A 27041-nucleotide genomic window follows, 5' to 3' on the forward strand; every position below is an offset into this window, starting at 1 on the left:
AGTCTAATCTGAATCATAACAACAGAGTCACAGTCCCCAGTCAATTCCCAGACATAAGCCAGTTCACAGACCCGGAGTCCCTTGTCTGAATGGGAAGCCAGGTCCCCTCCAGAAAGGACTCTGCTCCACTGCCAAAAATTTATACTGTCAATTTTTCTCCCAGCCTGCCCCCAAAGGAATACACAGCCTTTTACCAGGATGACTGAACAGGGGAAAAGGAACTAATGAGATCTGTGCAGGATCACTGGACACAGGCTCTGAACTGGCACTAGGGCGAGACTAGGGTCTACCAGTCAGAATAGGCATTTTGGAGGTCAGGTGAATGTTGGTGCAAGTTCATGTCATGGTAAATCCATTGGGTCCCCAAATCCATCCTCTGGTTATATACAAAGTGGCCTTGCTGAGATTCAAATTCAGGGCATCCAACAGAGAGGCTGTGCTCTTACTCATGAAACATTCTGACACTAGTAACCAATTTAAAAATGCAAACACCTTCTGGGGCTAGCCAGAGTCCTCCAAACAGTCATGTAAATTGGTTCTGTCAAGGATTTCCTCCTACCACCTGCTGAGAGCCAGTTGCAAGGAGAGACTAGGGAAGGGCATTGGGTAACTTTGTTGCTAAAACTCTTTTGGATAAAGACTTTTGGGAAAAGAAGCAAATAGAGTTCAGCAGAAGAGGTAAGAAAGTAAGTTTATGTTTGGCCAGGCACGGTGGCTCACACCTGTAATCCCAGGACTTTGGGAGGCCGAGGTGGGCAGATCACGAGGTCAAGAGATCGGACCATCCTGGTCAACATGGTGAAGCCCCATATCTGCTAAAAATTCAAAAATTAGCTGGCCATGATGGCACATGCCTGTAGTCCCAGCTACTCGGGAGCCTGAGGCAAGAGAATCACTTGAACCCAGGAGGCAGAGGTTGCAGTGGACCGAGATCATGCCAGTGCATTCCAACCCGGCGACAGAACAAGACTCCATCTCATAAAACAAACCAAAACAAACAAACAAACAAAAAAGCAAGCTTATTTTTAAGCCTGAACAAATGTAGTGGTTTAGGGGTTCTGCAAATACGGCCCCAATCAGGCTACAAGATGTTGTGGCAGCAACACTTACACCCAGTCACTCCTGGCTGGCTGAGCCACTTTTCAAAACACCCTTGCACAGCTGTGCAGAGCGGCTGGCTCCACTGGCAGCCGGCAGAGACATAACTCACACTGTCACCACTCCCCTCAAACCCTTTTAGTAAGCACTTTTTTTTTTTGAGACGGAGTCTTGCTCTGTCATCAAGGCTGGAGTGCAGTGGCGCAATCTCGGCTCACTGCAAGCTCTGCCTCCCAGGTTCATGCCGTTCTCCTGCCTCAGCCTCCCAAGTAGCTGGGACTACAGGCACCCGCCACCATGCCAGGCTAATTTTTTGTATTTTTAGTAGAGACGGGGTTTCACCGTGTTAGCCATGATGGCCTCAATTTCCTGACCTCGTGATCCACCCGCCTCGGCCTCCCAAAGTGCTGGGATTACAGGCTTGAGCCACCGCCCCCGGCCTGGTAAGCACTTTTAATCAATGCAACAGGAATAAACATTTGCTGCAGAGCGGCAATGTGCAGGGAGGAACATTGTTCCACTCAGGCTCAGAAAGCAAAACCTCCTGGCTGTTTGCATCTATGCAAGAGCTCGCAGGAAAAACCATCTGTGTGGCTGCCAGCCTCACACACTACCCCCAAGGGGTGAGTTTCTCTTTCCATGTTAATCTATGCCCTGATGTGCCATCTGTCAACCACCACACCATTCTCAGTTGACATTTCAAAGCATCTTTGCCCTGTGAATGGTCACCAGCCCTGCCCTGCAAGCCCCCAGGTGACATTGAACTTAAATGAGAGAGAAAACAGGTTTCGGGGTGGATTTCAGTTCAGCATCTTGGAGTCTCTGTGTGGACATGAAATCTGTCTCCCCAGCCGTGGGCTGCATCCTTGTTTGTCATCTGGTTGGTTGTTGGGGACTTGGAAACTCGTGGGCACCTTTGCAATTTGTCAAGAAGCTGCACGGCCCTTCCAACAAAAGCAAGCAATAGGAACAGAAGCCCAAGTCTTCAGATCAAGGTGCGACTTAAAGCTGCCTCAGTGTAAAAGGAAACAGGAGTCAGAGGGATGCCTAAGGCAGAGTCTAGTCCCCAGGGCAGCTATAAGGCAAAGAGAAAGAGAGAGAGATAGACAGAGACAGAGACAGAGACAGAAAGACAGAGAGAGATGGGAGGAGACATGAGGCACCCAGGCCTCTGCATCAAAATCCCTACAAGAGGGGCTTCCTAAAAATGCAGGAGGCTGAGGTGGGCGCACACAGAAGTTCAAGACTAGCCTGAGCAACATAGAAAGACCCTGTCTTTACAAAAAAATACAAAAATCAGCCAGGTGTGGTGGTGCATGCCTGTGGTCCCAGCTACCTAGGAGGCTGAGGTGGGAGGATGGCTTGAGCCCAGGAGGTAGAGGCTGCAATGAACCGAGATAGCACCACTGCACTCCAGCCTGGGCAATAGAGTGAGACTTCATCTCAAAAAAATTTTAAAAATTTTTAAAAAAGGATCACTATGGCTACTTGAATGGATGATAAGAAGGTAAGAGCAGAAGCAAGGAGACCAGCAGTGAGATTCTGCAGGCGGGAGTCCACAGTGGCTCAGACCAGGCTGGCGCTGAAGACCCTCTGGATTCTGTATATATTTTGATGATGAAGCAACTCACTGACTCTTGAAGAGTGGGCTCTAGGAGACTGTATTTTTAACAAGCTCTCAGAGGATTCTAATGCAGGCTGAAGTTGAAGAACTCCTGATTTAGGTGAAGCTTCTGTTTCATCCTAGGGGAAGTACCTACTGAATTTTCTCCAAGCCACCTCAAAAGAGGTGCTAGACAAGATGTGCTCCAATGTCTGAACATGTGTGCACAGCTCTAGAGCCGACCTCAGGACACCGAGTCAAAGGTTAGGAGTACAACAGTGAACAACCAACATCCTCTTTTCAATGAGCTTTGCATTTAATGAGAGAAATAAAAAGCAAAAAAAGAAATCATTTTCAACTCACAATGGTAGGAGTTATGGTGACAGTATGCCTGGGGCAATGGGAGCACAAAGAAGGGGCACCCAATCGGCCAGGTGCAGTTGTTCATGCCTGTAATCCCAGCACTTTGGGAGGCCAAGGTGGGTGGATCACTTGAGGTCAGGAGTTCGAAAACAGCCTGGCCAACATGGTGAAATCCTGTCTTTACTAAAAATACAAAAAAATTAGCCGGGTGTGGTGGTGGGCACCTGTAATTCCAGATACTCAGAAGGCTGAGGTGGGAGAATTGCTTGAACCCGGGAGGCAGAGATTGCAGTGAGCCAAGATCGTGCCACTGCACTCCAGGCTGGATGGCCAGAGCGAGACTCCATCAAAAAAAAAAAAAGCCAGGAGATGGTTGGGCATGCAATTTCTATCAGGTGGTCGGAAGTCCTTCTCCACCACAGGACTCCTCAGTTGAAGACTAGAAAATGGTAGGAATTAGCCAGGTTGATAGGAGAGGTGGGGAAGATCATTCCCAGCAGAGGGAAGAGCATGTGCAAAAATCGAGACGTGAGAGGGTGAGAAGCTGAGAGATGTTCATATAATTGTAAAAAGTGACTAATATAGAGGTAAGTTGGAGCCAAATCTTAAAGGCTCTTTGTCAGGTTTATCCTGTAGACAAAAGGAGACAGTAGATGTTTTTAGGCAGGGGAGTAATGATCCACTTTGTGCTATAAAAAGAGCAGTCTGGCTGGAGGAGAGTGGGAGGTGAGTAGACCAGGTAGGAGGTTGCAATACACCAAGTGAGACAAGATGGTTGGCTGGACCAAGGCTGTGGCAGTGAGGATGGAGAGGAGACAGTAGACTAACTTGACTGAGAAAGAGGGAGGAATGAAGGATGAGGCCCAGGTGTTTTGGAAGCTGGGTGGATGGTGGTGTGAATCTGACGGGGTGAGCCCAGGCAGAAGAGGAAATCAGGAGAGGAAAGGTAAGATGAGGTCAATGCAAGACAGACAGCCAAGTGGAGATAACAACTGGGCAGTTGGATTCATCAGCCTGGAGTTATACAGAGAGCTCTGGAATGGAAATAAAGAGGAAAGGACTTTGGGAATAGGTGAATCCTCCCAGAATAATGTGTAGAGAAAGGAGAATAGAACACAGGGGACAGAAAAAGGGAAGAGATTTGTTATTAAAACCAACCATCCATCAGATATCTTCCGATACAACACTTGTTGGAGGTTTCCTCAGTGTGAGTTATTCAGGACCAGAGCTAAAGACCATATTCCCAATAAAATCACTGCTGGGAAGGTCTTCATGAAAACATTTAATGCTGCTTTTAAAACAACAACAACAACAAAAAGGCTTTAGCTACTGCACAGACCCTGGAGCAATTTTTCGGCAAGAGTCTATCAAACACGAATCTGATCTGACTCAAGGAGGTGTCATATCAAGTGTAAAAATCCAATTCCAATGTCCATAAGAGCCTTTCTGCCAGGTACAAGACCCTAATCCAGTTGAGTGATTTTCTATTGATTAATAGGCTGGGAATACGCAGGTTGTTGGTTTTTGAGATTTCCCTCCCTGTGCCTTCATGCCAGCTGTGAAAGAGTCAAAAGGCTCCTAACTGTCAAAATAAAAATGACACTTGGTCACAGAGGAAACAGGGTATAGGTCAATCACATTGATGACTTTTTAACTATGAGAAGCCATTAATGTTACTGAATAAGCAAATCTGTTTGCATAACCAGATTTTTATAGGCTACTGGGAATAAAGGTTTTCCTAAGTGGGTGATTTGTACAACGATAGCCTTTGGGTCTCTGATGGAACAGCTCTGATGAGGAAATGTTCCTTTAATTATGCGGAAGGCCAATTACCACATTATAGCCACATTGTTTTGCAGATTGCATATAATTTCACCATTTCCATAGCTTCAGCACTATAATTCTGGAGAAAATTCAGGCACCAAGAAGACACTTGAGGCACATTATGCTGGAGACAAAGATGTTTTAACAAATTCAATTTAAGCTTCAACATTAAAGTTATTTTGTTGAATAAAACATAATGCAATAATGAGCTTGTGTATGTCAACTCTATAGTGGAGGTAATAATAGCTAGAGAGAGCATGTCCCATCTCCTCTTTTTAATGCTCATTCGAGTAATACATAATTCTATAGAGAGAACCTTTCTCTAATATGTGCTTCATCTCAGGTTAAGCGTGTTTTGTGCAACTGTGCTTCATGAAAAAAAAAAAGGTAAGGGATCTAATTTGGGAGCCATTCACAAAAGTGCTACCACTTGATGCTATTTTATACTCTGAGATTTCTTATTCCCAGTGCCTACCAGGAATGGACTTTCTGGAGAAGCTCAGATTAATCACTCCTTATGAGAGGTGACAGTGTGCTGGCAGCCCTCACAGCCCTCGCTCACTCTCAGTGCCTCCTCTGCCTGGGCTCCCACTTTGGTGGCACTGGAGGAGCCCTTCAGCCCATGGCTGCATGGTGGGAGCCCCTTTCTGGGCTGGCCAAGGTCGGAGCTGGCTCCCTCAGCTTGCAGGGAGGTGTGGAGGGAGAGGCATGAGCTAAAACGGGGGCTGACCCCAGCACTTGCCTGCCGGCTGGAGTTCTGGGTGGGGGTGGGCTTGGTGGCCCCGCACTAGGAGCTGCCGGATGGCCCTGCCAGCCCCGGGCAGTGAGGAGCTTAGCAACTGGGCCAGCAGCTGCTGTGCTCGGCTTCTCGCTGGGCCTTAGCTGCCTCCATGTGGGGCAGGGCTTGGGACCTGCAGCCTGCCATTCCTGAGCCTCCCCCCTCCATGGGCTCCTGTGCGGCCCGAGCCTCCCCGACGAGCACCGCCCCCTGCTCCACGGCGCCCAGTCCCATCGACCACCCAAGGGCTGAGGAGTGTGGGTGCACAGAGAGGAACTGGCAGGCAGCTCCACCTGCAGCTCCTGTGCAGAATCCACTGGGTGAAGCCAGCTGGGCTCCTGAGTCTGTTGGGGACTTGGAGAAAATTTATGTCTAGCTAAGGGATTGTAAATACACCAATCTGCACTCTGTATCTAGCTCAAGGTTTGTAAACACACCAATCAGCACCCTGTGTCTAGCTCAGGGTTTGTGAATGCACCAATCGACACTCTGTATCTAGCTACTATGGTGGGGACTTGGAGAACCTTTGTGTGGACACTCTGTATCTAGCTAATCTAGTGGGGACGTGGGGAGCCTTTGTGTGGGGAGCTCAGGGATTGTAAAGACACGAATCAGTGCCCTGTCCAAACAGACCACTCAGGCTCTCTGTAAAATGGACCAATCAGCAGGATGTGGATGGGGCCAGGTAAGAGAACAAAAGCAGGCTGCCCGAGCCAGCAGTGGCAACCGGCTGGGGTCCCCTTCCACACTGTGGAAGCTTTGTTCTTTTGATCTTTGCAATAAATCTTGTTGCTGCTCACTGTTTGGGTCCACACTGCCTTTATGAGCTGTAACACTCACCGAGAAGGTCTGCAGCTTCACTTCTGAAGCCAGCAAGACCATAAACCCACCGGGAGAAGTGAACAACTCCAGACATGCAGCCTTAAGAGCTGTAACACTCACCGTGAAGGTCTGCAGCTTCACTCCTGAGCCAGCGAGACCACGAACCCCACCAGAAGGAAGAAGCTTCGAACATATCTGAACATCAGAAGGAACAAACTCCAGACACGCCACCTTTAAGAACTGTAACACTCACCAGGAGGGTCTGCGGCTCCATTCTTGAAGTCAGTGAGACCAAGAACCCACCAATTCCAGACACGTTTATAGACTTGGCACTGGGAGGTCTGCATGGAGCAAGTGAAGAAATCAGCAGAGTGAAGATAGAGGGAGAACAACATGATGGGGGAAAGGCAAAGTTACTGCCATGTTGGTTTCAATTCTGCCACTCATGAGTGAGACCCATGACCTCCTCTCTCTAGGACTCTGTTGTTCTTATCTGTAGAGTGGAGGAATAGAAGGGCCTTTTAAAGTATTAACATTTCCTGACCTATCTGTAAAACGCTTTCATTCAAACTGATGGGAATCTTGACTACTTTGCCAAGAGGACATAACAATCATCAAGCTGAATGCACCAAACAACATTGCCTGAAACTATCTAAGCAAAAACTGAGAAAGTTGCACAGGACAGACATACCTCCTATAAGAGGAAGAACTCTTTAGCACATGCTTAGTGTGTCAAAGACAATGCTGTGTTCACACCATTCCTCTTCCTGGACATGCAGAAAGACTACATTTCCCAGCCTTACTTGCAGTTAGTTTGGAACCATGTGACTGCATTTCCACCAATAGGAATGTAAGAAATCCCTTCAGGCCAAGGTTATCAAAGGCAAGTGTGAGCTATGTTCCCTCTCTTCCTATCCATATGGCTACAAGTGAAAAACTCTGAGATGGCAGAATTAAAAGATGGAAACCTCCAGAATCTCTGAATCACTGTTGGACAACGGCCCCCAAGGAGAACCCCTGCCCTGCACCAGACTATGCTATGGGTGCTAACCCACTGAGAGTTCAGGGTTTATTCATCTCAGCAGCAGTCTATTGTTAACACTGACTAACATCCTAAGGTTTGAGAGATCTAGCATATTGTTAATTGAAGCTAGATTTCAATTGCACTGAGAAACTTATCTATTTAAAAATAAAAACTCTCCTAAAAAAAACAAATAATCCACATTCCTTTTAACAACATGTGGCAAATTTGCAAAAAAAACCAAAAAAAAAGCAAAAAAACAAACAAACAAAAAAAACCAACTGGCCACATATTAGGCCATAAAGAAGTCTCAACAAAATCCACTATACGATTGACATTGTCCAGACCACATTTTCCTGACCATAATGCAACAAAATTAGAAGTCAACAGCAAGAAGATAGCTAAACACAAGCATGCATTAGGAAAATTAAAAATATCCTTTCATGAGTTAAATGAAAAATCTCAATAGAAATTACTAAACATTTACAACCGAACGAAAACACAACTTTTCATATATATATATATATATATATATATATATATATATATATATATATATGTATGTATGTATGTATTTTTTTTTTGTGAGTCTTCCAACTTTGTTCCTCTTTTACAAGTTTATTTGAGAAATTCCGGGTCTCCTGCAATTCCTCATACAGTTTTATGCTGTTTGTCATTTCTGTGGCTGGGATGAACTTATCGTAGTTCTCATAGACCAGGGTTTGCATGTCGCTGTCTAGAGCCCGGATCTGCTGCACCATGTCCGTCTCACTGTCCATCAGCTGGGCCAGAGGGGACTCTCTAGGCAGCTTGTCTAGGTAAACTTCCGGGTCAAAGTGTGCCCCGTTCAGATCAGTGGGGTCCAGGGGGTCGGGCCCTGCAGGGAGTCCCACCGCTTCCCCTTCTGAGAGGCCGTTGTAAAGCTTTAGCATCCTGTGCGCCTTCCGCCGACGCTCCGTGAGCCTCCACATCGGGGCCTTCTGGGGAGTCCCCAGGTCCACACCCCAGGCTAGGCCCAGTGACAGCTGCTGCCGCCATAGCTCCAACTGCAGCCCACGGGCGTAACTTTTTATATTTTTAAGTTGGATATATGGAGCTACTTGGCTTTTGCTTTCATCACATCGTTGAGGAAAGAGGTGGTTGCTTATGGTATCCCTGTTTTTACTGCAACCTGTAATGGATGAGAGCCTCCCTGTTGCAGAGAGCAAAACACTGAACTGAATTGTGCTATAACACAGCCCTGTGTTGGGGGATTGGGAGTGATCATGCAAACGCTTGCAAATTTGCACAGTGACAGAGACAATCGTTTGGGCAGCTGTTCACTACATGAAAAGGCAATTGACCAAAAGTCAGTTACTGAGCTATCTCAATACTTTCATTTTATTTTAACTTTTGGCAACAGGGTGCAATTAAAGGAGAGAAAGAAAACAAAGTGATAAGTGTAAGATAATGTACACACATGTGTAAAAGAAAATGACAAGACAGGGTGACTCTTTGTCTCTTGGTTAGCTCCTTGGGCTCTATGTCTCCTTCCTCAGAGAACCTCGTTTTCCTTTGTCCAGATTTGTTAGGGTGGATAATCCAGGCACCTGCTCCCCCATGATGGAAGCCAAAGACGTCCCTGGAGCCGCCTCCCGCTGCACCCTTTGCTGCACTGCCCACATGGACACAACTCAGCCGATTAGACTTCCTCTCAGAACTTTAGTCTTGAGCAAAGGGATTAAAGGGTGAAGTGACTGAAGGTATGCCCTTCCAAAGTAGTACGTGAGCTAATGGCTAAAGTTTGTCAAGCCCATCCAAGCACATTTTTTCGTAATTTTTATTTATTTATTTTTTTAAGACAGAGTCTTGCTCTGTTGCCCAGGCTGGAGTGCAGTGGTGTGATCTCGGTTTACTGCAACCTCTGTCTCCCAGCTTCAAAGGAGTCTCCTGCCTCAGCCTCCCCAGTAGCTGGGATTACAGGCATACGCCACCATGCCTGGCTAATTTTTTTTTTTTTTTTTTTTTAGTAGAGACAGGGTTTCACCATGTTGGCCAGGCTGGTCTCGAACTCCTGACCTTGTGATTCACCTGCCTCAGCCTCCCAAAGGGATGGGATTACATACATGAGCCACCGCGCCCAGCTTCCAAAAGTTTTAAGCAGAGCTCAGAGGTCTTAACCACAGGCACATTGGAGGAGCATTTTTGAAACGCTTTCCAGCTTCCTCAATAGGAATGGAAGCCAAACTCCGAACTGATGACTCCTTTGAGGAAGTCGAGAGCTGTAAGGAAAGCCAGGAACAGGGGCAAGGGAGAGATGCATCCCAAATGATCCTGTGCCAATTCTTTCTGGAATCCTTGATGTGATCTCAGCTGCCCTTTCTATACATGACACAGTGATTGTGGCACCCACTGGTCTAGCTGTGGTCTACAAGGAACCCCCAAAGGGAAGGGCACAGTGAGCAGGGGCATCGGCCTCAGTGACGAGGATTTGAGAGGGCAGGTTGGATGCAGGGAGAGGACTGGCCAAATGCCATGTGTCTGGACTTAGACTGCCTGGTTCAAATTGGACGTCACCCTTTTTGACTTCGTGATCTGGTACAAGCTACATGAAAATCCGTTGCACCTTTTCTAGTCTGTAAAATCATCATGAAATGTGCACTAATAACGTGGAGACTATGCAGATGAAAAGAAACAAGCTGCATAGAGCACAGAGCTCAGAGCCTGTCCTTTAGGAAGCCCTCAGTAAGGGTTCATGATGCCATGGTGTCTGTCATCATCCTCTTTATCCTCATCATCACCTTCATAATCTCTTTGTTGTTCTTAGGGAATAGTTTAGAGGGACTGATTCCCTGCTATCATGGGTGAGATGTCTATGAAAAGGACAACCAGTGGGGGAGGAAAGCAAAATTTTGAATAAGATTTCTGAGACCCCCAGCACAACCAAGAGCAGAAACTCCACAGTCTGCTGAGCGCAGAGTTTGCATATTGGTCTCCTCCCATCTGCCCAGCGCATTCTCCTGTTTGTTCTGAGGAGGAGGAAACAAACAAGGCTCCCAACCGTCCCTCAGCACTCACTTGAAGGGGTGGCCTGCCCCTCCACACCTGTGAGTATTTCTAGTCGGGTGGGACGAGAGACTGAGAAAAGAAATAAGACACAGAGACAAAGCATGGAGAAAAAACAGTGGGCCTAGGGGACCGGCGCTCAGCATACCAAGGATCTGAACCGGCACAGGCCTCCAAGTTCCCTCAGTTTTTATTGATTATTATTTTTATTATTTTAGCAAAAAGGAATGTAGTAGGAGGGCAGGGTGATAATAAGGAGAAGGTCAGCAACAAACATGTGAGCAATAGAATCTATGTCATAAGGAAGTTCAAGGGAAGGTACTATGACTGGACGTGTCTCTAAGCCAGATTGATGTTTCTCTCCACCCAAACATCTCAGTGGAGTAAAGAATAACAAGGCAGCATTGCTGCAAACATGTCTCGCCTCCCATCATAGGGCGGTTTTTCCCCCATCTCAGAATTGAACAAATGTACAATCGGGTTTTATACCGAGACATTCAGTTCCCAGGGGCAGGCAGGAGACAGCGGCCTTCCTCTCTCTCAACTGCAAGAGGCTTTCCTCTTTGACTAATCCACCTCAGCACAGACCCTTTACGGGGGTCAGGCTCGTGGACGGTCAGGTCTTTCTCCTCCCACGAGGCCACTTTTCAGACTATCACATGGGGAGAAACCTTGGACAATACGGCGCTTTCAAGGGCAGAGCTACCTGTGGCTTTCCACAGTGTATTGTGCCCCTGGTTTATTGAGACTAGAGAATGGCGATGACTTTTACCAAGTATACTGCTTGCAAACATCTTGTTAACAAGGCACGTCCTGCACAGCCCTAGATCCCTTAAACCTTGATTTCATACAACACATGCTTTTGTGAAATTCAGGTTGGGTCAAAATGGTTTGTTCAAAGTGACTGGGGCAAAGCTACAGATTAACAACATCTCAGCAAAGAAATTGTTGAAAGTACAGGCCTTTTTCAAAATGGAGTCTCTTATGTCTTTCCTTTCTACATAGACACAGTAACAGTCTGATCGCTCTTTCTTTTGCCTACACTCACTGAACTGCCCTTCCCCTCTGCTGGGCCATGACCACGGAGAACAGGTCCACTGTCCTCCCTGTGTGGTGCACCATGGAGGCTCAGACTCCGTCCTCAAGGCTGGCAAGATGACAGGGTAAGACATGAGCCTCCTGATACAGGTGATGTCTCTGGAGCCCACAGGACTGCAACCTCACACTGCAGGGCTGGAGGCACAGACTGACTATTTACTATTCTGTGGCCTGGGGGCTCAAGGCACAGAGCTCCTCATTAGCCAAAGTCACCCAAGTTCCCCAACCACTAAGGATTTCCTCATAATAATGCAAGAAGAAGAGAAAAGTGAGTGTCCATAGAAGCTTTGGGGCTCTTCCTCTAATCAGGAGAAAGCTGGTGTGTATTCTTCACTTCTTTCTTTTCTTTTTAAACATCCAACTGCTTTAATTTTCATCTTTTATTATGGGAAAATATACCACGTATAAATATGAAAAATTATAAATATATATTAGTTCATATAGAATGGCCAGTATAAACATTTACAGTTTCCACTCTTTTTCAGTTTACAGTTTCATGACATTAAGTACGTTCACATTGTTTAGCAACCATCACCGTCATCGTCTCCGGAACAGTTTTATCTTTCAAAATGGAAATTGCACCCATTCACCAAGCTCTCCACTCCTCTCTCTTGCCCACCCCTGGGGGCCCCCTTTCTAGTTTGCAACTCTATGATTTTAACTACTCTAGACACTTGATAGATAAGTGGAATCAAACCGTGTTTAATTTTCTTGTTTTGGAGACAGAGTCTTTCTCTGTCACCCAGGCTGGAGTGCAGTGGCGTGATCTCGGCTCACTGCAACCTCCACATCGTGGGTTCAAGCGATTCTTCTGTCTCAGTCTCCAGAGTAGCTGGGATTACAGGCGTGCACCACCACGCCCAGCTAATTGTTGTATTTTAAATAGAGACCATATTGGCCAGGCTGGTGTTGAACTCCTGACCTGAAGTGATCCGCCTGGCTCAGCCTCCCAAAGTGCTGGGGTTACAGGTGCAAGTCACTGAGCCTGGGCGTGTTTATCCTTTTGGGATTCATTTATTTCACTGAGGATAATGTTTGCAAGGTTCATCCATGTTGCGGCCTGCCTCAGAAGTGCCTCTCTGTTTTTTTGTTTGTTTGTTTGTTTTTTGTTTGTTCGTTTGACTTTGTTTTGTTTTGTTTTATGTTTCCATGGAGTCTCACTCTGTCGCACAGGCTGGAGTGCAGTGGCACAATCTGGGCTCACTGCAACCTCCGCTTCCCGGGTTCCAGCGATTCTTGTGCCTCAGCCTCCCGAGTAGTTGGGACTATAGGTACAACGCCACCATGCTTGTCTCATTTTTTGCATTTTCAGTAGAGACGGGGTTTCACCAAGATGGCCAGGCTGGTCTTGAATTCCTGACCTCAGGTGATCCGCCCACCTCGGTCTTCCAAGACGCTGCGATTACAGGCGTGAGCCACCGCACCGGCCAGAAGTGCCTGCATTTTTAAGGCTGAATAGTCCTCCATTGTATGAAGGAACTGCAGTGTGCTTTTTCATTCATCTGTCCACGAACCCTTGGGTTGCTTCCACATTTTGGCTGTTGTGAATAATGCTGCTATGAATATGGGTGTACACAAATCTGTCTTCCACTCCTGGCTTCTAATTCTTTTTGGTAGGTACCCACAAATGCAACTGCGGGAACATCTGATCATTCTGTTTCTAATTTTTCCAGTAGACGCCATACTATTTTCCCTGTTCCTTCACGGTTTTACATTCCCTCCAATCATATTCGAGCATTCCTACTTCCCTCTAGTCTCACCAATGCTTGTTTTTTTTTTATCATATCCATCCTAATGTGTGGTATCACATTCTTGGTTTGATTTGTGCTTCCCTATGATGAGTGACTTTGAATATCATTTTAGATGCTTATTGGCCATTGCTATATCTTCTTTAGGAACACGTCTACTCGAGTCTTCTGACCATTGTTGATGGGATGCTTTGGGTTTCTTGTTGTTTAGTTCTAGCTGTTCTTTATATATGATGGATATCAGCCTCTTTTCAGATATATGCTTTGCAAATATTTTTCCTAATCCATGGGTTATCTTTTCACTCAGTTCACAGTGTTTTTTGCTGCACAAAAGTGTCTGTCATTTAGATGTAATCCAAGGAATCTAATTTTCTTTTGTTGCCTATGCTTTTGGTGTCATATCCCAGAGAACATTGCCCAATCTGATGTCATGAAAGCATGGCCAATGTTTTCTTTTAGGCGTATGATACTTTTAGCACTTGGGGTGAGGTCTTTGATCCAGTTTGTGTTAATTTTTGCACCTGGTGTGACATAGGGTCCACCTTCATTCTTCTGCATGTGGAAATCAAGTTTCTCCAACACCATTTCTTGAAAAGGCTTCTTTTCCACCAATGAGCTTTCTTAGCACTCATGTGAAAAATCATTTGAACATATAGATGAGAAGTTATTTCTGGGCTCCAAAACAAACAAACAACAACAGACAAAAGATAAGGATACAGCATGGGCCAGGCGCTGTCGCTCACGCCTGTAATCCCAGACCTCTGGGAGGCCGAGGTGGGCGGATCACCTGAGGTCAGGAGTTGAAGACCAGCCTGACCGACAGGGAGAAACCCCCGTCTCTACTAGAAATACAACATTAGCTGGGCGTGCTGGCGCATGCCTGTAATCCCAGCTACTCGGGAGGTGGAGGCAGGAGAATCGCTTGAACCCAGGAGGCAGAGGTTGCGGTGAGCCAACATTGCACCATGACACTACAGCCTGGGCAACAAGAGCGAAACTCCATCTCAAAACAAAAACAAAAAACCAGCATGATTTCAAGAGCAGAAAGAGAAGAGCTTAAAAACCAGCATAATGAGAAAGTTAGGAAGTTTCTTACCAAAGCATCTGGAAATATGCAAGCAATTCTTGTGAAGTAAAATTTTCATACTGTGCTATGAAACACTGGAACTCACTTATTCCATCTTTCTGTATTTTGGGACCCAATTATCCACTTGTCTTCATTCCCTATCGCACCCCTTTTCTTCCTAGCGTCTGCTGATCACCTTTATACTTTCCACCTTCCTGAGATTCCTTTTGTGTGTAGGTGTGTGATGGAGTCTCTTTCTGTTACCCAGGTTGGAGTACACAGGCACAATCAGGGCTCACTGCAAGCTCCACCTCCCAAGTTCAAGCGCTTCTTGGGCCTCAGCCCTCTGAGTAGCTGAGACTACAGGCACGCGTCACCACGCCCGGCTCATTGTTTGTGTTTTCCGTAGAGACAGGGTTTCACCATGTTGGCCAAGCTGATCTCGAACTCCTGGACTCAAGTGATCCGTGCGACTCGGCCTCCTAGAGTGCTGGGATTACAGGCCTGAGCCACAACACCTGGCCAAGGTTTCCTTTTTTCTTCTTACATAGAAGTGAGGACATGAAATATTTGTCATTCTGTGCCTGGCTTCTTTCATTTAATATACAGACCTGCAATCTCATCCATTTTGTCTGCAGCGGAGAGGAGTTTCTTCCTTTTTCGGCTGAATAATACTTCACTGGGTGTGTATACCACAGTTTCTTCATTGAAACAAATTTCTGAAGAGCAAATATTTTTAAAATGTCTCAGAATGTGAAACCTCAGGGATACTGTGTCCATTTTATTCTTTTCTATTTCCTATCTTATGTATATGCAAGTGTATAACAAAGCAGCAATCAATGTGTGTATAAATCTACAACTTCAACAAATGTAAAATGTAAATGCTAAGTGGTGGCTGGGCGCAGTCGCTCATGCCTGTAATCCCAGCACTTTGGGAGGCGGAAGCGGGCGGATCACCTGAGGTCGGGAGTTCAAGACCAGCCTGACCAAAATGGAGAAACACTGTCTCTATTAACAATATAAAAAAAAAAAAAAATTAGCCAGGCATGGTAGCGCATGCCTGTAATCCCAGGTACTTGGAAGGCTGAGACAGGAGAATTGCTCGAATACGGGAGGCAGAGGCTGCAGTGAGCCGAGACCGTGCCATTGAACTCCAGCCTGGGCAACAAGAGTGAAAATCTGACTCAAAAAATAAGGAAAAGAAAGAAATAGAAAATGCGAAATGGTAAGAAACAACAACATAATAAACATTTGTATGGTGTTGATGGACAATGCATTTGAAGATAATATTTGAAGAAATCATATTACAATTAATTTCTGTTCTTACTCATTGGAGCTTGATGCCTCTAAAAACTTCGTCATTGGAACCACCTCTGGTGCTTTAAAAGAAAAAAAAAAAAATCCACATACTCACACAGGTGCAAGGAAATCAGAATCTCAGGTATTGAGACCCAGGCCTCATCATTTGTAAGCTCCCCAGGTGATTTGACTCAAAGCCAAGATTGAGGAATGGCGACATGGATCTCTACACAGAACCTGCCTAAATAGATTCTCTAGAAGCAGTTTATAAAGATATTCCACGTGGACTGTGGAAGAGGATATGAATTTGATGTACAGCATGTCCTCACTTAACATCTTTGAAAGTCTCTTGGAAACTTCACCTTTAAGCAAAATTATGTATAGTGAAACCACTTATTTTTCATCAACAGTATAACTACACATCTTTGAACAACTGATGGTGTTGGAGGACCTCCTGTACATTGTTTCCATAAAGTCAGTTTTCAGGGAATTCCAAAAGGAAGTGAGGACTTCGTGTATATAAAAAGATGGTTGTGATTCCACCTGGATGACAGGGTTATTGCTCAGAAACTAAAAGAGGCCACCTAGGTATAGAGGATTCTGTCATGAGGTTTCTGCTAAACAAAGGGTCCCAGAATCCTCACCCATTCCAGTGAAAGGCATAGCGAAGAAAGCAATATTCACAAAGGAAATGTGGAAAGGAATAAAAGCCATCAAGCCACAGAAAGAATGTGACTAAGGGGCAGGATTTGCAGATGTAGAGATTTAATGTGGTTGCCCTTTCTCACCCACACAAGAGAAAGGATGGAACAAATCATGAGATTCGACTGTTGTGCTGTGCAGCCTCCACAGGGCACTTTGTATGTTCCTGTTTCTCAGGCTGTAGATGAAAAGGTTCAGCATGGGGGTGACCACAGCATACATCACTGATGCCACCACACCATTCCTGGGGGGTTGTGACACAGCTGAAGTCAGGTACATGCCAATGCCTGTTCCATAAAATCAGCAAACAACGGCTAGGTGAGAGCCACAGGTGGAGAAGGCTTTATACTTCCCATCTGACGATGAAATCCTTAGAATGGAGGGGATGATTTTATAGTAAGACCATAGGATCCCTGAAATGGGAAGAAAACCAAACATAGTACTATCGAAATATATGAATATGCTATTGATGACGCTGTCAGAACAGGCAAGTTTGAGAAGTTGAGAGGGGTCACAGACAAAATTAGAGATTTCCAAATTCTAGACGATGGTGAATTGTAACACAATCCAACTGTGCAGCTGGGAATCCAACAGGCTAAGGAAAAAGGACACCAAAACGAAGACACAGAGGTGAGGATTCACGATGACTGGGTAGTGCAGAGGGCGACAGATGGCTACAAAGCAGTCATAGGCCATCACAGTCAGGAGCATGCCTTCTATACATGCAAAAAGGACCAAGAAAGACATCTGCGTCAGACAGCCCGCATGAGACGTGACTCTGCTATGCGACTGCATGTCCACAATCATCTTGGGAACCGTGGCGGAGGTGAAACCGATGTCAGCCCAGCACAGGTTGGAGAGGAAGAAGTACCTGGGGGTGTGGAGGGGGGAGTCAGAGCAGACAGCCAGGATGCTGAGCAGGTTCCTCAGCACCGTGACCAGATACATGGACAGGGACAGGGACAGCAAAGCGAGGATAGGCTGCAGTTCTGGGTCCTCTGAGAGTCCCAGGAGGAGGAATTCTCAGACACCTGTGAGATTCCGTGGCTCTGTGTGTCTTGGACACCTTGAGAAGGAAAGAGGATTGGAAAAATAGCAGATAAAAACCAGCCCTTAATGCTGGATGCAAGCAATTCACAAGGAACATCTTCACACTTGCGGACCATACACCGCCAGCAATGTTTCTCAGTTGTGACAATTCCAAAAAATCTCAGAATTATTACGTGATTTACTTTTTTGCTATACAAGGCTTTCTGTACATACTACTTTAGAGAAAATCCACTGAAGAATATCAGAGACCAAAACGTTATATATAACAAATCCGTGATCTCAGTAAAATACGGCCTACTCTTTTCAGAAAAAATACAATGCAATGACAATGTCCTTTCTCTTGAAGAAAAAGATCTCAGTCTAATTGAAAGAAATTAAGAAGCCGTGAAATGCACTCTACTTTATTCTGACCCCGTGCTACAACTTCCATTGATGTAGAATATGTAAAAGGACGACACAAGAGCTAGGACCCCATTATCTGAAAACGACATCGAACCTTATAGTTCTCAATCGAAAGATTTTCACATGCCTGTTACTTTTCATATTTATTATCATCCTTCGGTTTTCTGACATCACTTCTTCATAAAAGTACATGCACGCTCAAAGATGGGAGCTGTGTTTCCAAATGAATTGAATCTATAACTCTTGGCCCAGCACCATGGCTCACACCTGTAATCCCAGCACTTTGGGTAGCCGAGGCTGATGGATCACCTGAGGTCAGGAGTTCCAGACCAGCCTGGCCAACGTGGTGAAACCCCGTCTCCAGTGAAAATAAAAAAACATTAGCCGGGTGTGGTGGCGGGTAACCCTAGCTACTCGGGAGGCTGAAGCAGGAGAATCCCTTAGAACCTGGAAGGCAGAGATTGGAAACCCTGTGATAGGATTTTTGACAGCCTAGGGAGATATTGCACCTGACAGCAGAGTCGGCGTACACCCTGTGATATTATTTGTAATATCCTAGAAAGATATTTCTCCTAATATCACAGTGGCTGTACACCCTGTGATCTTAATTGTAATATCCTACAGAGATATTACTCCCAATAATACAGTGGGTGTACACCCTGTGATATTATTCATAATATATTACAGAGATACGACTCCTGATATCACAGTGAGTGTACACCATGTTTGTACACCCTGTGATCTTATTTGTAACAACTTAGAAAAATATTACAGCTAATATCAAAATGGGTGTGCACCCTGCGATGTTATTTGTTTTCTACTAGGTAGATATTACTCCTAATATCACAGTGAGTGTACACCATGTGTGTGCAGACTGTGAAATTATTCATAATACTCTAGGAAGATATTATTCCTCATATCACAGTGGGTGTACACCGTGAGTGATTTTTTTTCTAATATCCAGCGGGGGAGAGGATGATATTGCTTCCAATATCACGGAAGGTGTACACCCCGTTGTGATATTGTTCCTAATATCCAGGGAAGGAGAGGATGACATTATTCCCAATATCACTGGGGGTGTACCACCTCCCTCCGGGATATTGTTCTTATTGTCAGTAGGTGGAGAGAATGATGTTACTCCCAATATCACAGGGGGTGTACACCACCCCTGTCTGTAAACACCCCCTGTGATATTGTACCAAATGGCCTGTGAAAGAGTCAATATTACTCCCATTATCGCAGGGGTGTTCAGACCTGATGATATTGTTTTCTAACATCCAGGGAAGGAGAGTATGCTATTATTCCCAATATAGCAGGGGTTGTACACCTTTTTGTGTTATTGGGCCCAATATCCAGGAAAATAGAAGATGATAGTACTCCCAATATTGAAATAATTGTACAGCACCCTTGTGATATTCTTCCTAATATCCAGAAAGGAAAAGAATGATATTACTCCCAACAGCGTAGGAAATGTATACCCGCTCTGTGATATCTTTCCCCATATCCAGGTGGGGAGAGGATCATATTACTTCCAATATCGCAGGGTGTGTACACCCCCTCTGTGATCTCGTTGCTAACATCCAGGTTTGGGGAGGATGACATGACTCCCAATATCTCAGGGGGAGTTCACCCCCCATGACCTTGTTTGTCATTTCCTTGGTGGAGAGGATGATATTACTCCCAATATCGCAGGGGGTGTACACACCCCTGTGAAAATCTTCCTTATATCCAGAGGGAGAGAGGATGATATTACTCCCAGTACCGCAGGGTGTTTCCACAGCCCTGTGATACTCTTCCTAATATCCACAGGGAGAGAGGATGATATGACTCCCAATATCGCAGGGGGTGTACACCCCTCCTGTCCTATTGTTCTGAATACCCTGGGAGGGAGAAGATAAGGTGACATTGAATATCACAGGGAATGTACACCCTCCCCCTCTGATACCCTTCCTAGTATCCAGGGGAAGAGAGGATAATTGTACTCCCAATATCGCAGAGGCAGTACACCCCACCTGTGGTATTGTTCCCAACATGCAAGGGGAGAGAGGATGATACTACTCCCAATATCGCAGGGGTGTTCACATCCCCAGTGACATTTTTCCTAATATCTAGGGGAGAGACAATTACATGACAGCAAATGTCGCAGGGTCTGTACATCCCTTCTTGATATTGTTCCTAATATCCAGGGGGGAAGAGGATGATATCGAATATGAAAGGGGGTATACAACCCCCACCCCTAAGATACTGTTCTCAATATTCTTGAGGGGAGACGATGATATGACTCCAAATATCGCAAGGGTTGTTCACACCCCCCTGTGATACTCTTTCTAATATCCAGGAGGGGGAGAAAATAACATGACTTCTAATATTGCAGGTGGTGTAAACCCCACCTGAAATATGGCACCGAATATCCAAAGAGAGAGAGGATGGTATTCATACCAATATCGAAGTGTGTGTACACGCCCCTTGTGACATGGTTTTTAATATCCAGGGGGTGGGAGGATATTAGTCCCAAAGTCCCAGAAGGTGTACACTACCCCTGTGATATTGTCCCTAACTTCCAGAGGGAAGAGGATGAGATCACTCCCGATATCTCAGAAGTTGTACATCCCCTGTGATACTGTTCGTCATATCCAGGGAGGCACAAGATGACATACCATTGAATTTCACGACAGGCGTACACGCACACTGTGATATTGTTCCTAATATCCAAGAAGGCAGAGGATGGCATTACTCCCAATAAAGCAGTGGGTGTACACTACCCCTGTGTTATTGCCTCTAATATCCGGGGCCGGGGGAGGGGGGGAGAGGATAACATTCCCTCAAATGTAGCAGGTGGTTTGACGCCCCTCGTGGTGTTGTTTTACATATCCATCGCGGAAGACAATAATACTATTTTGATAGTCCGATTCATCCCCTCCACCTTTCCGGAACTCTGAGGCCGGGAGGCAGCAGGCAATTTCCGTGTGATCCCCAATTCCTTTGCCGTCTTCTGTAGCAAGTCAGCCACAAACGCAGGCCCGTTATCTGAGCCGATCCGGAAGGGCAGTCCCAATCTACGAATCAGATCTCGAAGAAGCACACGGGTTACTTCACGAGCTTTCTCAGTTGTGTTGGATAAGCCTCCACCCACCCAGAGTAGGTACGGCCAAGAACTAGTAAATACTTGTTACCTCCACACTTTGGCATCTCTGTGAAGTCTACCTGGAGATCTTCTAAGGGGGCTGCTCCATAAGCTTGTATGCCGGGTGGAACGGCTGGACCTTGCCTCGCTTTATGCTGTCGGCAGGTAACACACCGCTGCCTCACCGTTTTGGCAAGGGCTGAGAAACGCGAGATGTAGAAATACCGGCCTAACAACTTTTCCAGTGACTCCTGACCTCGATAGGTGGTTTCTTGCACAGCCAGTACAACTGCAGCTCCTAGCAGCTGTGGCGCAGCTACTCTCCATCCTTCCTCCATCACTTGTCCTTCCCTCTACCTGGACAAAGTCCTTTTCTTCTTTAGAATAAGCAGGTCCAAGATCAGGTGCTTGAGGGAGCAGAGGAGCTGTGACTGATGCCTGGAAACGGGCAGATGCTGCTTTTCCAGCCTATGAGTCAGCGCGGGAATTCCCCAAGCCCACCAAGGTGGAAGCTCGCTGGTGTCCCCTGCAATGCATAACTGCCACCTTGTGGGGTTTCCATACTACTTCTAATACATAGAAGATTTCTGGTTGATATTTTCTGTCTTTTACCCCAGAGTTTAATAGGCCCTTTTCTTTCTATCACGCTCCATGCATGTGAAGGGTTCAAAAGACATACCGAGAATCAGTGTAAATGTTGACAGTCTCACCCTCACTGAGCTCTAAGGCCCAAATGAAAGCAATGAGTTCAGCTTTCTGGGCTGAAGTGGCCTGGGGCAACGATCTGGCTTCAACAACAGTGTCCAGGGTTATCACTGCATACCCTGCACCTCTCTCTCCTTGGGGGTTGAAGAAGCTGCTCCCATCCACGTATAGTTCCCAGTCTACTGATGCCCAAGGCTGGTCCCAGAAGTCAGGTCTGCTAGAGTCAACTGAGTCCAACACTTCTACACAATCATGCTCGACGGGGCTCTCTGATAGCGGGAGCAAGGTGGCAGGGTGTTACAAACTTCAATGGTTACACGGGGATTTTCACAGAGCAAACTTTGGTACTTGGTGAGTCTGGCATTCATTAGCCAATGATGTCCTTTAATATTCATTAAAGTCACCACAGCATGGGGGGCCTTTCTGTTCAGGTTCTGCCCAAGAGTCAGCTTCTTTGCTTCTTGTACTAGCAGGGCAGTTGCTGCCAAGGCCCTCCAACACAGGGGCCATCCTTTAGAGACCCCATCTAGTTGTTTAGAGAGGTAGGCCACCGGCCTCGGCCAAGGCCCCACAGTTTGGGTTCAAAGTCCGGCTGCCATCTTTTCTCTCTCTCTGACACATAGGATGTAAAAGACTTTGTCAGATCAGGTAGCCCCAGGGCTGGGGCTGACATAAGTTTCTCCTTTAACTCACGAAAGGCTTGCTGTTGTTGGGATCCCCATTCAAAAATTTCCCATCCCCGCCCCCTTTGTGACCTTATACAAAGTCTTGGCTAATACTGCAAAGTTTGGGATCCGCAGTCTACAAAACCCCACAGCTCCTAAGAATTCTCTCACCTGCCTTCTGCTCTTAGGCTCTGCTAGATTGCAAATGACCGGCTTTCTTTCTGATCCCGGGCTGCGTTCCCCCTGTCGGATACTAAATCCCAAGGAACATACCTGCTGTCAGCAGATCTGAGCTTTTTTCTTGGACACCTTACACCCACAGTCCTCCAGGTGTCGGCGTAGGGCAATCTGTTCCCTTGGTGCACCCGACTGCCATGAGGTGTCCCAGCAAAAGCTCATCAACCTACTGGAGCAATGCGCAGCCTAGGTCTCTGGTGGGAAACTTCTGGAGGTCTCAAGCCAACGCCTCCCCAAAGATGGTGGGGGAGTTCTTGAACCCTTGGGGAAGCCCGGTCCAAGTGTACTGAGTAGTGACACCTGACTCCGGATCTTCCCACTGAAAGGCAAACAGCTTCTGCCTCTCAGGGGCTAATCTGATAGAAAAGAAAGCGTCTCTCAGGTCCAAGCAGGTGAACCAGCTGTCCTCAGCTGGCAGCAACCCCAACAACATGGACGGGCTAGGTACTGTTGGATGTAAAGTCAGGGTAGCTTGACTAAACAAGCGCAAATCCTGTCCCAGCCTGTAATCCTTGGTCCATGGCTTGGGAACAGGCAGGAGGGGAGTGTTCTGTGGAGACTGACAAGGAACTATCATACCAAAAGTTCTTAGGTGCTTAAGATGGACCTGGATACCTTGAAGAGCTTCTCTGGGGACCAGGTCCTGTTTTTGCCTAAGTGGCTGGGCCCCAGTCTTAACTAGCCAACCCTGGAGGGTTGTCTTCTGCCCGTACTCTTGGCCTCTGCTTAGCCAGAGCTGGTCTTCTCTCTTGGCCCGGTTCAGTTCACAAAAGTCTCCATTCCTCCTCTCGGGGGACCATAAGGTCATAATGACTCCCGTGGCGGGTAACTTTAGCAGCAAAGAGCTGTGTTCTGTCAAAGAGAGAGCAGCTCTCAGCTTGCTAAGCAAGTCCCTTCCCAACAAGGGCAAGGGACAGTCAGGCATGTACAAAAACTGATGAATCACTTGATGTCCTCCTACAGTGCAAGTCCCAGGCAAGCAGAAAGCTTGCTTTGCTGAAACCCCCATGGCTCCGGTGATGTCAAGGGTCTTTCTGGATAACGGGCGACCGGAGCGGTTACTAGCGAATGTTCAGCACCGCTATCCACAAGAAAGTCAATGTCTCTACCCCCGACTCTCATTCTAACCAGAGGCTCTTTGGAGACACTTGAGCCTGGTCTCCCTCAGTCCAATAATCCTTTTGCCAGGTTGAGCCGGGCCCCTTCCTCCTTGTCCGGGGCCTCCTGCTCTGAGTCACCTTGTTTTCTTTTGAGCTCAGGGCATTTGTTCTTCCAATGTCTTATTTCTTTACAATAAGCACTCTGGTTACGCTGCAAACTCTGACAGCCAAGCTGAGTTTCTTTCCCAGGGCTCCCCTTCCCTTGCTTCTTTGGGGGGACAGCTCTGATTGCTGCAGCTAACAAACAGGTCGGCGTTTTGCCGGGCCTGATCTCCATTCTCTTTGCGCTTTCCCTCGTGGCTTACTGTATCCCTGTTTACAAACACCTGCTTAGCTATTTCTCATCAATGTGATGTATTCCTCCCTGCAAGCCCAGCCTGCTTCTGCAGTTTTCTTCTAACGTCTTCCGCACTTTGACGGACTAAAGCCATTTGAATCATGCGCTGATTTTCAGGGTTATCGGGATCAAGGGGAGTATACATACCATAGGCCTCACACAGTCTCTGGTAGAATTGTGCTGGACTTTCTTCTTTTCCCTGAATGACTTCAGAGACCTTATTAATATTTGTGGCCTTCTGAGCTCCCCTCTTGAATCCTTCCAAGAGAGCTTCCCTGTCTCGGTTTAGCCTTTGCATATCCTCTCTTTCATGTGGGTCCAACTGGGGGTGGGTTCCTGGTAACTAGGTCCTTCCATACTCTTGGGGGTTTTGATAATCAGCTGGTGCATGTTCCTCTAGCCACTTAGTTGCTGCGTGGAGCCCTCTCCGCCTTTCGCCTTTCACCTCTCTTAAAGAGGAACATGAGCAACCGGTGGCGATCAGCCCAGGTGGGGTTGTGGGTCTGGATAACAGTTTGGAGCAAATCTATTAGGGCTTGCGGCTTTTCGCTCTAGGACGGGGTATTGTTTTCCCAGTTGAGAAGGTCGGCAGAGGTGAAGGGCTTTTACACAAAAACACGCCTCTCCACCACGTGACCATCCTCCTCTCTCCCAGTATACCGCTGCTCTCTCAGGGGCATTTGGATCCCCGTTTTGGGTCGTAAACGAGCTGCCAAGGGAGGGGTGGAATGGCGCAATGTTACTTACCGCAATTAATAATATCAATTATTAATTGATACTGATAATTATCAATATTAATAACTGATCATATAATTCTTAAAATCAATACCTATAATAATGATAATTCATATTAAAGAGCTATACTCACAATAACAACAAATGATGAATGTTAATGATTAATGACGCCTGGTCTTAGTGATATTGATCTTATTCATTAGAAAACTGTCATATTAACTCCTAATAATTAACATTAATTTTAATAATCTGAACACTTTTTTAGCAATGATTTCTTAATATTAATATTAGTAATACATATTCATGTTAATAATAAATGAGGAAGAATTAATACGAATATTATCCCTAATACCTCAGTGGGTGTACACCCACCTGTGATATTGTTCCTAATGTCCAGGGAGGGAGAGAGCATGATATGACTTTCAATATCGCAGTAGGAGTACACCCACCCGGTGATATTTATCCGAATATCATCTCCAGGGGGTGGCGTATGACGTTACTCCCAAGATAGCAGTGGGTGTGCATCCACCCGGTGATATTCCTCCTAATATTCCCGGAAGAAGAGAATGCTATTACTCCCAGTATCTCAGGAAGTGTACACCCCTTCTGTGACATTGTTCCTAATATCCGGAGGGGAGAGGGTGATATTACTCGCAATATCGCAGGCTGTGTACACCCACCCTCTGATATTGTTCCTAGCAGCCAGGAAGTGAGAGGACGATATGACTCCCCATACAGCAGGAGGCGTACACCCATCCTGGGATATTATTCCTAATATCCACGGAGAGGAGAGGCTGATATGACTCCCAGTATCGCAGGGGGTGTACATCCTGTCTGTGATATTGTTCTTAATATTCAAAGGTGGAGAGGTTGATATTACTCCCAATATCACAGAAAGTGTACAAACCCGTGTACTATTGTTGCTATTATCCAGAAGAAGAGAAGATGATATCACCCCCCCATCGCAGGAGGTGCACACCCACTCTGTGATATTTTTTCCAATGTGCAGGGCAGGGGAGGATAATACTCTTCTTCATAGCACACGGTGTGTACAGCCCCGCTGTAATATGGTCCTTAATATTCCAAGCGGAGAGGATGATCTTACTCCCAATACTGCAGAAAGTGTACACGACCCCAGTGATATGGTGCCCATGATCCAGGACAGAAGAGGATGATGTTACTTTCAATATCGCACAGGGTGGACACGCCCCCAGTGATATTGTTCCTAATTTCAACGTGGGAGAGGATGATACTACACGGAATGCCCCTGGGGTAAAAACACTCCTGTGATATTGTTCTTAATATCAAGGGGAAAGAGGATGCTATTACTCCAAAGAGCGCAGAGGATGTGCACCCGTCTGTGACATAGTTAGTAATTTCCAGAGGCGGAGAAGATATTACTGACAATAACGTGAACACACTGTGTGACCACCGTGGATCGTCATATCCGGGGGGGAGAGGGGGGTGATATGACTCCCCGCATCGCGGGGGGCGCCCGCCCCCCTGCGATGTGGATCGTCATATCCAGGCGGGGAGGGGGGGGTGATGTGACTCCCCGCATCGCGGGGGGCGCCCGCCCCGCTGCGAAGTGAATCGTCATATCCAGAGGGGGGTGATATGACTCCCCGCATCACGGGGGCCTCACCCCCTTGCGATGGGGGTCCTAAGAGCCAGCGGGGGATAGGGGCTGGCTCTTACTCCCCGTACCCCGGGTGGGGGGCCTCACCCCCCTGCGATGGGTCTCCTAAGAGCCGGGGGAGAGAGTGGCTGGCTCTTACTCCCCGTATCCCAGGAGGTGTGTACAACCCCTGCGATATTGGGAGTAATATCATCCTCTCCCCCTGAATATAAGAAACAATATCACAGGAGGATGTACACCCCCTGCGATATTGGAAGTAACATCATTTTCTCCCCCTCCGGATATTCGGAACAGTATCACAGTGGGTGTGTACAGCTCCTGCGACATTGCCGCTAGTATCTTCCTCTCCCTCCCAGGATAGAAGGAAGAATGTTACAAGGGGGTGTACACCCCCTGCGATATTGGCTATAATATCTTCCTCTCCCCCGCTGCCTTTTAGGAGCAATGTCACACAAGGGGTGTACACCCGCGGCTATATTGGGAGTGATATCATCCTCTCCGTCCCTGGATATTAGGAACA

The 27041-nt window shown here is 46.6% G+C and overlaps 1 protein-coding gene, 1 long non-coding RNA gene and 1 pseudogene across 2 annotated transcripts in view, besides 1 other annotated feature; all 3 read right to left on the bottom strand.

The window, feature by feature from the left end:
- LOC112268076 (translation initiation factor IF-2-like) overlaps positions 1–8480 on the bottom strand; it is a 154152-nt gene extending 145672 nt beyond the window's left edge. The window contains exons 1-2 of the mRNA XM_047427952.1: positions 8167–8480; positions 6792–6829 (exon numbers count right to left, since the gene is read on the bottom strand). Of these exons, the coding sequence (XP_047283908.1) occupies positions 6792–6829; positions 8167–8480 (352 nt within the window). The remainder of the gene's footprint in view (positions 1–6791; positions 6830–8166) is intronic.
- Positions 14385–14885: an enhancer, noted in NCBI's record as "H3K4me1 hESC enhancer chr11:67739536-67740036 (GRCh37/hg19 assembly coordinates)". NCBI's record gives its function as "activates a minimal SCP1, AML or CMV promoter by ChIP-STARR-seq in naive H9 embryonic stem cells {active_cell/tissue: H9 hESC(naive)}" and the evidence as "EXISTENCE:reporter gene assay evidence [ECO:0000049][PMID:30033119]".
- OR7E1P (olfactory receptor family 7 subfamily E member 1 pseudogene) lies at positions 16554–17576 on the bottom strand (annotated as a pseudogene).
- On the bottom strand, positions 20386–21377 carry LOC124902697 (uncharacterized). The gene is made up of 2 exons (XR_007062743.1): positions 21093–21377; positions 20386–20988 (listed from the first exon to the last, which is right to left on the bottom strand). It is a non-coding gene; the product is annotated as an uncharacterized LOC124902697 (long non-coding RNA).
- Positions 21378–27041: the final 5664 nt, after the last annotated feature.

The sequence above is a fragment of the Homo sapiens genome, chromosome 11, assembly GCF_000001405.40.
Source record: "Homo sapiens chromosome 11, GRCh38.p14 Primary Assembly".
Classification (NCBI taxonomy): Eukaryota; Metazoa; Chordata; class Mammalia; order Primates; family Hominidae; genus Homo; species Homo sapiens.